The sequence below is a fragment of the Homo sapiens genome, chromosome 1, assembly GCF_000001405.40.
Source record: "Homo sapiens chromosome 1, GRCh38.p14 Primary Assembly".
Taxonomy (NCBI): Eukaryota; Metazoa; Chordata; class Mammalia; order Primates; family Hominidae; genus Homo; species Homo sapiens.
Genome location: NC_000001.11, coordinates 117908296 through 117921539, shown reverse-complemented (window position 1 = coordinate 117921539; position 13244 = coordinate 117908296). Strand labels below are relative to the sequence as shown.

General features: G+C 36.3%; 1 protein-coding gene across 2 annotated transcripts in view; it reads left to right on the top strand.

The window, feature by feature from the left end:
• Window positions 1-13244, top strand: part of GDAP2 (ganglioside induced differentiation associated protein 2) — a 66137-nt gene that overhangs the window by 8082 nt on the left and 44811 nt on the right. For both annotated transcript variants that reach the window (NM_017686.4, NM_001135589.3), the window contains exons 2-5: window positions 1116-1358; window positions 2804-2943; window positions 8857-9010; window positions 9458-9546. In NM_017686.4, the coding sequence (NP_060156.1) occupies window positions 1183-1358; window positions 2804-2943; window positions 8857-9010; window positions 9458-9546 (559 nt within the window). In that variant the 5' untranslated portion in view covers window positions 1116-1182. The remainder of the gene's footprint in view (window positions 1-1115; window positions 1359-2803; window positions 2944-8856; window positions 9011-9457; window positions 9547-13244) is intronic.

Sequence of the window (13244 nt, the reverse complement as noted above, 5' to 3'; positions counted from 1 at the left end):
TTCCTGCCTATTTGGCCTTTGCACTTGCCATTTCCTTTGCCTGAAACATCTCCCAGAGCTTCATGTGGTTGCTCTCTCATTGTATCTTTCTACTGAGATGTTACCTGTTCTCTCATAATGCTTACTTCTCTAGTCATTCTGTTAGATACCCGCTTGTTTCTTTATCATTTGTCATCTTCTGTCTTCTCCATGGAAACATATGCTCCTGAAGGGCAGGGACTTGCTCTTATTCACCAGTGTGTGCCCAGTGCCTAGAATAGTATTTAACACATAATAGATGCTTGCAAATATTTTTTTTTTAGACGGAGTTTTGCTCTTGTTGCCCAGGCTGGAGTGCAGTGACACAATACAAAGATTTATTCGATGAATGAATATACCATTTTACTGAAATAGATGTTTGACTCATAGGCAAATTGATTCTCCTTTTCTCTAGCAACAAAGAATTTCCCATTGCTTCTCTCTAGTACTTGACGCTGTGTGTCTTCCAACACCCTCCTCTTCTAATGTTTGTATTTCAGTACCACCAGCCACCTACCATATCACTGTCTCACACACCATATCCTGTAAATTGTCAACTCCTGTTCATCCTTCCTTTGTATTTTGCCTCTTAAATGTTTGCCTCCTTCTGTATCTCCTTTCCTAGTTGAAACCTTTATCATCTCTTACTACTTGATTGCAGTAACCTCCCAGCTTTTCATTTTGTCTTACTCAGTACATCCTCCACATTATCATCAGACTTTAAATTATACATATGGTTTATCTTTGTATCTCTTGCAGCATCTATTACTTTTTTTTTTTTTTTCAATAGTAGGCACTCAGTGAATGTTGAATGAATAGTCCTGTTTCTGGAAAGTAGAATTGGTGGGCCTGTGATTATTTTAATGGCTGTAATTCTTTGAAAAGAATTTATGCTTAAATAATCACTCTTTAATCCTGTTTTAGAAATTCTGTAGCAATTCTTTGTTGTCCATTGTTTTTAATGGACTTTTTAAGTGGCTATAATCACACAATATACTATTGGGATATTTCACAGTGGAATTTTGTTTACTGCTTTAATAGAATTCAAGTAATATCTGTGCTTCTCTATTAAAGTGATTCTTTCTTTTCTCTTAAAGCTAAAGTCTCCAGTGAATATTGAATTGCTGAGGATTTTGGGAAAAGACAAATCAAAGTTCCCATTCCATGGATCCCTTAGGTGCACCTTCCCAGTTTGTGGATGTGGATACACTACCAAGCTGGGGTGACTCATGCCAAGATGAATTAAATTCCTCTGATACTACAGCTGAAATATTTCAGGAAGACACTGTTCGATCACCTTTTCTTTATAATAAGGACGTCAATGGAAAAGTGGTTCTTTGGTAATTTTTTGATTACATCATATCATGAGGAGATAACACTTTCTCATAATTTATTCTAACCTCTTTTTTAAAGCCCTAGCATTGTTGAAATACAGCTTTGCGTATACGTATATGACTTTATTGAGGTATAATTGACATTTAATAAGCTACATATTTAAAGTATACAATATAAGTTTTGACTTCTGTTAATACATCCTTGAAGCCATTACCACAGTCAAGATAGTGAATATACCTGTCACCTCCAAAAGTTTTTTTTTCTGTTCCTTTGTAATTCCTCCTTCCTGCCCTTCCCTCCCTCCCCATCCCCAAGCAACCACTGATCTTCTTGTCACTATAGGTTAGTTGGCATTTTCTAGGGTTTTATTTAAATTGAATTGTGTGCTTTTTGGTCTGTTTTCAGCAGAATGATGGATTTAAGTTCATCTGTGTTGTGTGTATCAGTAGTAGTTCATTGCTTTAAAAAACTGCTTTACTGAAATACTATTCATATACAATATAATTCATCAATTCAAATTGCACAATCTAGTGATTTTTAATATATTCATAGAGTTGCATAACCCTCACCACAGTCCATTTTAGAACATTTTCATCAGCCCAAAGCCCCATTAGCAGTCACTCCCCATTTTTCCTTAATCCCTCTGGGCAACCACTGATCTACTTTCTTGTCTCTACAGATTTGCCAATTCTGAACATTTCATATAAATGGAATGAATACAATAAAATTTGTGTTTCTTAGTGACTTAGCATAATGTTTTCAAGGTTCATCTATATTATAGTACAAATCAATACTTTATTCTTTTTTTTTTTTTTTGAGGAGTCTTGCTCTGTCGCCCAGGCTGGAGTGCAGTGGCGTGATCTCGGCTCACTGCAAGCTCCGCCTCCCAGGTTCACACCATTCTCCTGCCTCAGCCTCCTGAGTAGCTGGGACTACAGGTGCCTGCCACCATGCCCAGCTAATTTTTTGTATTTTTAATAAAGATGGGGTTTCACCGTGTCAGCCAGGATGGTCTTGATTTCCTGACCTCATGATCCATCTGCCTCGGCCTCCCAAAGTGCTGGAATTACAGGCATGAGCCACCGTGCCCGGCCAGTACTTCATTCTTTATTAGGATTGAATAATATTCCATTGTATGGATATACCACATGTATCAGTTCGTTAGTTGATGGATATTTGGATTGTTTCCACTCTCTGGCCATAATAAGTAATGCTGCTATTTCTAAACATGGTGGTTTTGTGAGTTTCAGGGTTATAACAATTGCATTAAAGATCTAAGATGCCAGATTGTTTTTTAAGTCAGAAATTTCTTTTCTACTATTGCTTAGCTTGTGAGCTAGCAAAACCAACATTTTGAAAAAGACAAGGATAAAATGTTTTGAAATAATTAGAAACTAGGTTTCTTTTCTTCTTTTTCCCCACACTTGTTCATTCTTTATTGTTTCTTCAGGAAAGGAGATGTGGCATTACTGAACTGTACAGCCATTGTGAATACCAGCAATGAAAGTCTCACAGATAAGAATCCTGTGTCAGAAAGTATCTTCATGCTTGCAGGGCCTGATTTGAAGGAAGATCTCCAGAAACTTAAAGGTGAGTGAATTTTCTTTCATATATTATTGCTTAGAAAACATTCATTTTGATGTCCTCCACCTTAAAGAGGCATGTTTTGTGGGAAAATTTTGTAGATGTAGCTGTTTTTCTTTTGTTAAAACTAAATAAAAACTGCTTTTGAAAGCTCCATTTTAACAAAATTCATTACATTTTGAAATGTGTTAAAAACTGAGTCCTGAGAATTTACTACCAGTAAAACTTCTTTGTCCTGTCCTGAATTTTAAATGACAATCACTGTAGCTGTGTCTTTGGTAGCATTTTCTTGGCTGCATATTTTCTTGCACAAAACATGCAAGAAAAGCTTTGTGAGATGACTCTCCTCGTGAACTGAAAAACTGTTAAATTACCGAGCTTGCATCCCTTTGTTATTTGTGCCCAAATGAAATACTGTGAAATTCAATCTTCCCATTGTATAAAAACTATTTATGAAATACAGCAATGTTTCTTAAAATGTAAACAGCAAAGTTAACCTATATGAAATCTTGCTTTCCTTCCCTTCTATCATTTAACACTGACAACTGGTTTCTAACCTAATAAAAATATTAGAACTTGAACAGGAATACTGATAAGTGCTGGCTCTATGAAAGAAGGGATAGAATGGGAAGAATTGCATTTTTTGATCCAGAAACTGAATTTTGACTGTAAGGACAGAGTGGGGGAAATGGCCGTAACTGAACTGCAAAACAAGATACCATGAAGAACATGTAGAAACTAGAAAGGATATTGAAGATAATACTGAGAAGTTCTTTGCTGAAAGGAACAGAGAAGCTGGTCTGGAAAAATTCCTAATGGCATGTGTGTATGCTTACATACACATAAGAGCTAGACTTATGGATAATAAAGAATATAAGAAAATTTAACACAAATATACAAGTAAAACCTCAATGTTAAACTGCATGTTTGAGCATCTCCAAGCTGAGATTCATGTTATAACTCTGCTCTTTAATAACTGTGTGACTTAAGACTGGTTACTTCACCTCTGAGTCTGAGCTTCCTCATCTCTAAAATGGGGATGGTAATAGTAGTTCCTACCTCAGTTCCTGACATATAGTAAGAGCTTAATAAATATTTGGAGATGGAAAAAACTAATATCTTGAAGACTAAATTAAATAATGGACATTAGGTGCTAAGCACATCCTAAGTGTTCAACAAGTATTAGTTATTAGGTGTTAGTTATTAGGCCCCAGTTGTCTGTTTAATGAATCAGTGCCAACCTTTAGGTTATTACTAAAGGGCTGCATACTTAATCCTATCCCCTTTTTACATTTTTATTAATGACTTAATAAAAACAAGCATGACTCCAAATTTCTAGATGATAGAAAGCTGAAAAGAGTAACAGGAGATACTGGATGATAGACTAAAGATTTTCATGTGACTGGAAGTATAAGCCAAAAAATGAAAAAATTAACAGAGATGAATATTAAAGTTTTGCAGTAAGTTTAAAATGATAGGGAAACATCATTTGATTAACACTTTCTGTCTCAGTAAAATGGCATTATTTTCCATTCCATTTTTCTTTTTCTTTCTTTTTTTTTTTTTCCTGAGACAGAGTCTTGCTCTGTCACCCAGGCTAGAGTGCAGTGGTGTGATCTTGGCTCACCACAACCTCCGCCTCCCAGGTTCAAGTGATTCTTCTGCCTCAGCTTCCCGAGTAGCTGGGACTACAGGTGTGTGCCACCATACCTGGCTGATTTTTGTATTTTTAGTGAAGATGGGGTTTCACCATGCTGGCCAGGCTGGTCTTGAACTCCTGACCTCAAGTGATCTGCCTGCCTCGGCCTCCCAATGTGCTGGGATTACAGGCGTAAGCCACCATGCCCAGCCTCCCATTCCATTTTTCATTCAAGGAACCTTAGGATTAACACTTCGCTTTTTCTTATCCCTCACATAAAGTCTATCACCATGCCCTAAATTAATCTTAAATCTATTTCTGTCTGTCACCATTGTCTCCAGCAACTAGCATATGCAACCATCATTCCCTGCCTAGACTACAGCCATATCCTCTCTCCCAGCTGGTCTCCTTACATCCATTCTTCGTTTCTTAAATCCATTGTCCACACACAACCAGTAAGTGTAAACCCCTTATTGTTCGTTTACTTCAAACTATTTAGTGGCCTCTCATTAAACTTAAATTCTAAACTCCTTAAACTGATCCCCATGTCCTTGCAAGATCTTACTCACTTTTCTCCAGGCTTATCCCATGCCCCCTTTTCCTTTCCTTACCATGCTTGAGCCAAACTGATCTCTTCTCACTACCTTGTCACAAGCTCCTTTCCAGTTTTGCACTTGATGTTGTTCTTTCTCTCAGTTGTCAACCCTTATTCTTAAGTCTTGGCTTGTATCTCTTCCTGAAAGCACTATTTCTTTTTACTTCAGAATAGATCAGACCACCCATAGTATGTGCTGCCAGCCTGCAGTACTTCTCTCTTGTTGGCTTATCACAATTGTAATCCTGTAAATTGTCTTGTGATAACTGTATCCCCATTAAACTGTAAACTCCATATGGACAAGAACTGTATGTCTTTTATTACTACTATAAGTTGGGGTACCCCTAATAGAAAATTACTAACATGGTGGAAACCACATTATTTAAAGAGCTAGGATTAGCATAGAGAAGAGAATATTTGGGGGAAACAGTACTTATTTTCAAATACTTGAAAAAGGATCATATTGAAGAGGGAGAATGATAATCATGGTGTGTTCCTAGAATCCTTGATAGGAAAATACATAAAACCATATGTCAATTCAGTTAGTATCTAAGCATCAATACTAAAATTAGAATAGGCAGGGTTGGCTTATTGTACCTAAATTTCCTCCCTGAAAAAAATCAGTCTTATATTCACTTTGTGAATTTAGAAATTTTATGAAACTAAACCTATGTGAGGTTTGTTTGTTGTATGAACCTGTATGTGGGTGTGGATGTATACATACATTCTTATATCTTTTGATACCAAAATAATTATGTGTATGCTACTCTCAAAATAAGGTAATCATGTACATATTCTGCAATTTGCCTTCTTCAGCAAATGAATTCCACCTTTTAATTTCTGAAATTACATCTACTACCCAGACCATATTTAAAATTTCCAGCTGATCCAAAAATGTCCTTTGCAGCAGCTATTTTATCCAAACCAGTATCCAATCCAGGACCAGACATTGCATCTTTTTGTTATGTTTATTAATTTGTCTCTGTGTGTGTGGTATTTTGTAATCCAGCACAGTCCCCTGTCTATGACACTGACTTGTTGACTGAACAAGGCCACTTATTTTTCACAGTATTCCTCCTTCTAGATTTGTCTGATTTACTTGAGGTGCCATTTAGTTTGTATTTCCTATAAACTTGACATTATGTCTAATGGAGTCAAGTTTTGCCTAAAATATTTCATAGGTGATGTTGTGTTGTCTGCTTAATGTTGTATCATGTTAGACCTGTTAGTGGACTGTTACTCATATTAAGATGGCTCTCTTAATTGGAGTGAAGATAACAGTTTGACCCTTACATTCCATTTTTTTCTTGCCAAGGTCCCTCCTGGAACCCTCCATCCTCCCTTTCCTCTCTAGACTGTTCTCTGTGCCTGCTGCACAGTTACTGTTCTGGAACTTTTTTTTTTAACATCATCCTGGGAAATCCTTTTTTCTGTTTGGTGGATTGGATCTCTCATTTTTGTGAGTAAATCTACCAGGAGATTTTAAAGAAGAATGCAATAGGGTAAAACTACTGAGATTTTACTTCCACCTTCGTACTTAATTGGTAATTTGCTTAGAAATAGAATTCTAGTTTGGAAATCATTTTCTAGAAATTTGAAGGCACTACTCCTTTGTTTTCTACTTTGATTAGTGCTGTTGAGAAGTCTTGTGCTATTCTTATCCCTGATTGTTTGTATGTTACTGGTTTCTTTCTGGAAAGCTTCTGATCTCATCTTTGTTTCTTAGTGCTCTTAAATTTTACAGGGATTTGCCTTCATATGGTTTGGGTGTTTTATGGGCTCTTTGAATCTAGAAACTGATGTCTTTCCATCCTGGGAAATTTTTTTGTTTTATTTCATTAATAATTTCCTTCCTTCTGTATTCTCTGTTCTCTCTGAAGAAATCCTATTAGATGTTGTATTTTCTTGTTTAATTCTTCAGTTTTCTCATCTGTTATCTCTTATTTTCAATTTATTTTTGTTTTATTTTCTGGATTCCTTCAAGTTTAGTTTTAACCCTTCTATTGAACTTTTCATTTCTGCTGTCATATTTTTCACTTGGCTATAGCAGTTACATAAGTGCCATTTCCTGTTCTCTGAATAGTTTGTTTTTATGACATTCTGATTTTAAGTTTTTTTTCCCCTGTGTTGTCTATTTCTTGAGCATGTGTTTAGTCTCCCCTTTTAGTTTTTGTTAGAGGCTTTTCTCACTTTCTGGTGATCCTTAAGTGTTAGCTGGATTTAAGATGGAAGAACTGAAAAGTTCATGGGAAACTTTGTACACATGGGTGTCTAAGTCATTTCAGGCTGCTATAACAAAGTATCCTAGGCTGAATGGCTTAGGAAGAACAGAAATTTCTGGAGACTGAAATCCAAGATCAGGGTGCCAGCATAGTCAAGTTCTGCTAAGGGCTGTCTTCCTGGCTGCAGACTGCTGAGTTTTCATTGTATTTTCACGTGGCAGAGAGAGGGAGCAGACTCTCTGGAGACTCTTACAAGGATTCAGATCTCATTCATGAAAGCTTTACCCTCATGAGCTTATCTAATTCTAATTACCCCCAAAGACCCTACCTCCTAATACCATCACATTAGGGGGTAGGGTTTAACATATGAATTTTGAGGGAACCGAAGCATTCAGTTCATAACAGTGGGCAACGGTTATTGCCTGGTGGGTCTTGAAGCATATGACAGAATGGGACTCCTGCCTGTTATTTTATTGGGGAACTTCCCCAGTTATCTGTAGGTCCTTTAGGTTTGGGCCTCTCAATTTCTTGGAAAGGAATCCTCCAGGAGTGTAAGCCTAGATGTCTGTTTTGAAAGCCATTTAGGGGCAGAGGGCTAGACCTTTCACTGTTAAGTATAACACTTTAACTAAATCCCCTCTTTTCAGCTGTGCCTGGGGTTCTGGAATCCAGAAACTCTCTAGTTGAGCATCTCCAGAGAATAAACTTCTTCCCTGCTGCTCTGGTGGTAAAAAAAAAAAAAAAATCATCACCTTACTGTGCTGGCTGGGGGAGGGGTTGTTGCAGATTTGACTGTTTTTATACAAACTTTTAACTGGACCTCCTCTTTTTAGCACCACATCCCACTTGACAGCATAGCCTTTACAAGTACTTAGGGCTCCAATTTCTGAGCCTTTTTAGCATTCTCTAGTAATAATAACAATAATTTCTTATGCATGTATGCACTTTGCATATAGTAACTCGTTTAATCCTGTGAAGTAAGTACTACTAGTATCCCTCTTAAATAGGAAATTGGGTTGTAACAAGGCTAAGCCCCTGCCCAGAGTGTCTTGACAGGAACTCAGGATTTGAATCAAAGCAGTCTGTCTTGTATCCAACACTGCTTTTCAGTACAGATCAACTTGCTTCGTATTAGTTATCTCATTTCTGCAAGCAATTAGGTTTGTCTGCTCTGTTGAGTCAGTTACTAGTCAGTTGACATTCTACCTTCCAAAATTTTGATGATGCTTATCTGCTTCATGGTCTTTCTCATTCTCTTTATCTGTCTCTGTGCTTATACCTATTGTATTGCTTCACTGTCATTTTGGGAACAGAAGTAACAGAGATAAATGCTTGTGTTCAGTCTGTATTTTTAACTGAAATTTCTCAAAGTTCTCAATACTTTCTCTGTTTCATGCTTTCATTTGTTTTTGTTTCTGTTTTCCTAACACATCCAAACTTATGTGTGTTTCCATTGTTTTCAGGGTGCCGAACAGGTGAAGCAAAATTGACAAAAGGATTCAATCTAGCTGCCCGGTTCATCATTCACACAGTGGGACCTAAATATAAAAGCCGCTATCGCACAGCAGCTGAGAGTTCCCTTTATAGCTGCTACAGAAACGTACTTCAACTAGCAAAGTATGGTCTACTCATTTTCTGGACATAGCATATCATACATTGTTAAAGGCCCCAGTTTTTAAAGATAAAGGCCCCAGTTTTTAAAGATTAAAAACCTAGCAGTGGAAGTCAAATTTTGAGGGACTTAGGTGATTTAGGAGGACCCTGACAATAGAATTATCTTTTCAAACTTAGCGGGATAAATGGGATAGATTTGAGTGACTTGAGAATTTAACCTTTTCCCATTTTTTATTCAGTTTTTATGTGAGATATATATCCTCCAAAGAGTGCAATTAAATTGTATATGAATAGAATTATTGAGTGGTACAGTTGGGTTAGCTATTATAGTAGATTTGTTGAAGAGGGAGGAAAGGAGAAGTTGAGCTAGATTTTGAAATTACTTATATATTGTTGTGTATGTATTACTGATATTTCTAGTGCAATTTTTGTGTTTTCCCTTTGTTGCAGAGAGCAGTCAATGTCTTCTGTTGGCTTCTGTGTCATCAATTCTGCAAAACGTGGTTATCCTTTAGAGGATGCAACACACATAGCACTTCGTAAGTAATATCAGAGATGCTGTACATGAATTGAATCTTAAAAATTTTTTAAATTCTGGGCATGGTGGCTTATACCTGTAATTCCAGCGACTTGGGAGGCTGAGGCAGGAGAATCACTTGAGGACAGAAGTTTAAGGCTGCAGTGAGCTGTGATTGCATCTATGAATAGCCACTGCACTCCAGCCCGAGCAACATATAGTGAGACCTCATCTCAAAAAAAAAAGGTTTTTTTTTTTTTTAATCATTAAATAGTTACAGCCAAAGAATATTCATTGATTAAGTGATTGTGGCTCCCTGGAGGGAAGTTTTTATTGGCAAGTTGCAGAGCTCTCAATTTACTTTTTCAGGTTGGCATTTTTATCCATTTGAATAACGGGTCAGAAGACTTGCCTATTAATTTTTTTAATTTAACAGAATTTAATTGAGCAAAGAATGAGATTTGAATTGGACGGCCCCCAAAACCAGAATAGATTCAGAGCAGCTAGCCTCTTGAATTTGAAAGTGATGCTAAGTTAGAAAGTATGGCTAATGCATTGAGTAGTTAAATCAGAATTTAGAATAATCTTAACAGTCTGTAACAAATGCAGTCAGATTTCATGATATCATATTTGTATAACACTTGGCAGTTTAAATAGCCACATTCACACATGCTATTTGAATGTAAAATTCTGCATTTAGGTTTTCAAAAGACTGGGCTCAGTCAATATGAGCCAAATGCCTGTATGTCACATAAAAATATGGCATTCAGCTAAAGAGAGTCCATGATCTCACTGTATATATGCAGATTTAGACCACATCTTGAGTTTTATATATATTTCTGTGTGTCATATTGCATGAGACACTGACAAACAGGAGGACAAACAGTTTGAAACAGTAGTGGTGTTTCTTCTAAAGAAGAGCATGCTTTTAGCAAATATGATGTCCATCTTCAAATATCTGAAGGAATCTCATTTGGACTTATTCTGTGCTACATTTTTCAAGCAGCAGTTCTTTGGGATATTGTCATAAACTACGATGAGCATCTGGTGAAAGAACACTATGGACCCTTTGTCAAGAAAAATGTGCATAAATACAGAATTTGCATGTTATTTCAGGAAGTTTACAGATCCTCATCAGGATTGTAGATAAGAACTCCAACTGTACAAGGCAAGGTCTAAGACCAAGTTATAAGGAAGAAAATGTTGGTCCCACTTGAAGTAGTACTAACTGTAACAGCAAAGTATTTTAGCGAACTTCTTGTCACTAGGAACATTCATGCAGAGGTTACAGGACCATCTGTTGCAGCTGTTATAGAAAACACTTCTCATTTCAGAGACGAACTATACTAAATCATCTTTAAGAGCCCCTGTTATCTCTAGAATTTAAAGTCGAAGAGCTGAAAGCCTTATATCCACAAATACCAAAAAGATATTTGAATGTATAAGTTATTATTATGTAGCCTGGAGTTTAGGGTGAGTATCTGTTCAGTCTTAGTCTTATTTAATTATAACCTATTTTAAAAACCAATATTCTAACTGCTCAAGGATTTTATAGTAAATTTGTATATTTTATAATTAAGCTTATATACATTACATTAGACTGAGCTTGAGGGGCAGGGATCTTATCTTTTTATCTTGAATGCTTGACATATGGTACTTGCTCAAGAAATATATATTTTTAAAAGGGACAAGTAAATTCCACTTACTTTACTTAACAACCCTGTGTTTTAGGTAGTGTGGTGTCCGTTGTACAAATAAAAGGTCTCAGAAATTTCTCCTGTTATGAGGGTTATGCAGACTTGGAGCATATATCCAGACCTTCTGACTCCCAGGTCTAGTAACCTGTCTGTTATACTAGATGATTCATTATGCTTGAGTTAGAACTGCTTCAGTGGAAGACTACTATGTTATTACATGCCTATCTTCTAAATGGTACCTAACGAAAGCAAAATTCCTCCCTTGATATAATTGCTCCTGACAAGGCTTTTGGCTGGTCTCTGCATTCTCTGATTTTACTTAGTCCTTGTCATATCATCTCATAGCTTCTTTTATATATCTATTTTTTATTAAGGTAATCATAAGGATTCTATTTTAAAGAGGCAGCATTATTTTGTAGAAAAGGTTCTGAATAGGGGGTTAAGAAGACTGGTTTTTAGTTCTAATTCTACCAGTCCAACTCTAGCTCTGTGGCCCCAGACAAATCACTTGATACAGTACTATGAAAGAGGTCAACTTTGAGAGTAACAGCAGATAAAGATCAATAATGGGTATAAGGGACTTTGATGAAGCAGTTTCTAGAAATATAATTAGCAAAAAGGAAATGTACAGCTCTTAAAAAGTGGGCACATTTGACTTATTAGGCCTTAAATCTAGTGGCAAAACTGTAGCATTTCATTCAAACACTTACACAGAAGATGATGCCTTTTGCTTGAATACTTTATCAAGCATTTGGAAAACAAATGGCTTATACACTTTTGTAACATATATGGGCCAAGAACAAATCTAATGATATAACTCGAAGTCCTTAGTATCAAAAGCTTTCTTATTAAACTATTATCAAAATTTATTTCATTTGAAGCCTAAATAATATGTTTTTGATAGATATATTAAGACACGTGCTTTTTTTTTCTTAGTTCATGTGCAGTTTGTTTTTCTCCAGAAAAAGCCTAAAGAAATATCTGCATTGAAATAAATTTATCAGGTTATTTATTCATCCAACAAAAATTTAAGTGACTACTATGTGCTGTATACAAAATACTACAGTGGTGAGAAATAAGATGAAGGTGTTTGTTCTCGTGGTGTTTCCAGATGGGGAATTATAATGTCCTAGATGTCATTCTTACAAATTATAGGGTATTCACTAGGTATTTAAGCACAGGACATTGTGGTTGGTTGCAGAGTATAGTGCACAGATGAAACTTTGAAAGGAAGAGCGTGGCCTGGCCTTTAGTACTAAAACCTTAGAGTCATGACATTAGTCTTCTTCACTGCTTTTGCAGAGTTAATTTTCTAAATGAATTCCACTGAGAGAATTCAATTTGGTTGCTATTTGGTATTGTATTTTATCTTCCAAAGGAAATAATATAATTATATTCTGGGAAACTATTATGCATGAACATTACAACTTGGTGTCAAATAAATAGGAAACAGAAAATCTTTATTTATTTATTTATTTATTTATTTATTTTTTTGAGATAGAGTCATACACTGTCGCCCAGGCTGCAGTGCAGTGGGGCAAACACAGCTCAATGCAGCCTCAACCTCCTGGGCTCAAGTGATCCTCCCTTGTTAGCCCCCCAGGTAGCTAGGACTACAGGCATGCGTCACCATACCTAGCTAATTTTTTAAAAAAAATTTGGTAAACACAGGGTCTCGCTATGTTGCCCAAACTAGTCTTGAACTCAGGCTCAAGTAATCGTCTTGCCCTCACCTCCCAAAGTGCTGGGATTATAGCCATGAGCCTCCATGTCCTGCTGAAAATCTTTTTTTGAAAGTTCGTTTTTGAAAAAGCATTAAAGCAGAATAGAGGAAAAAATAAAAAGTAAATTTGTCATCTAACAGGAGGAGAGTTATGAGTGTTTGTTTAGTCCTTTAACAAATAGGTTTGCTCTGTTAGGTTCTTGAGATACAGTGTTGAACAAAGCAGGCAATATGTAACTGAGCCATAAATTGTTAATTCAGTTACTAGTTACTTTTGAATGATTGCATATCACATCCGTA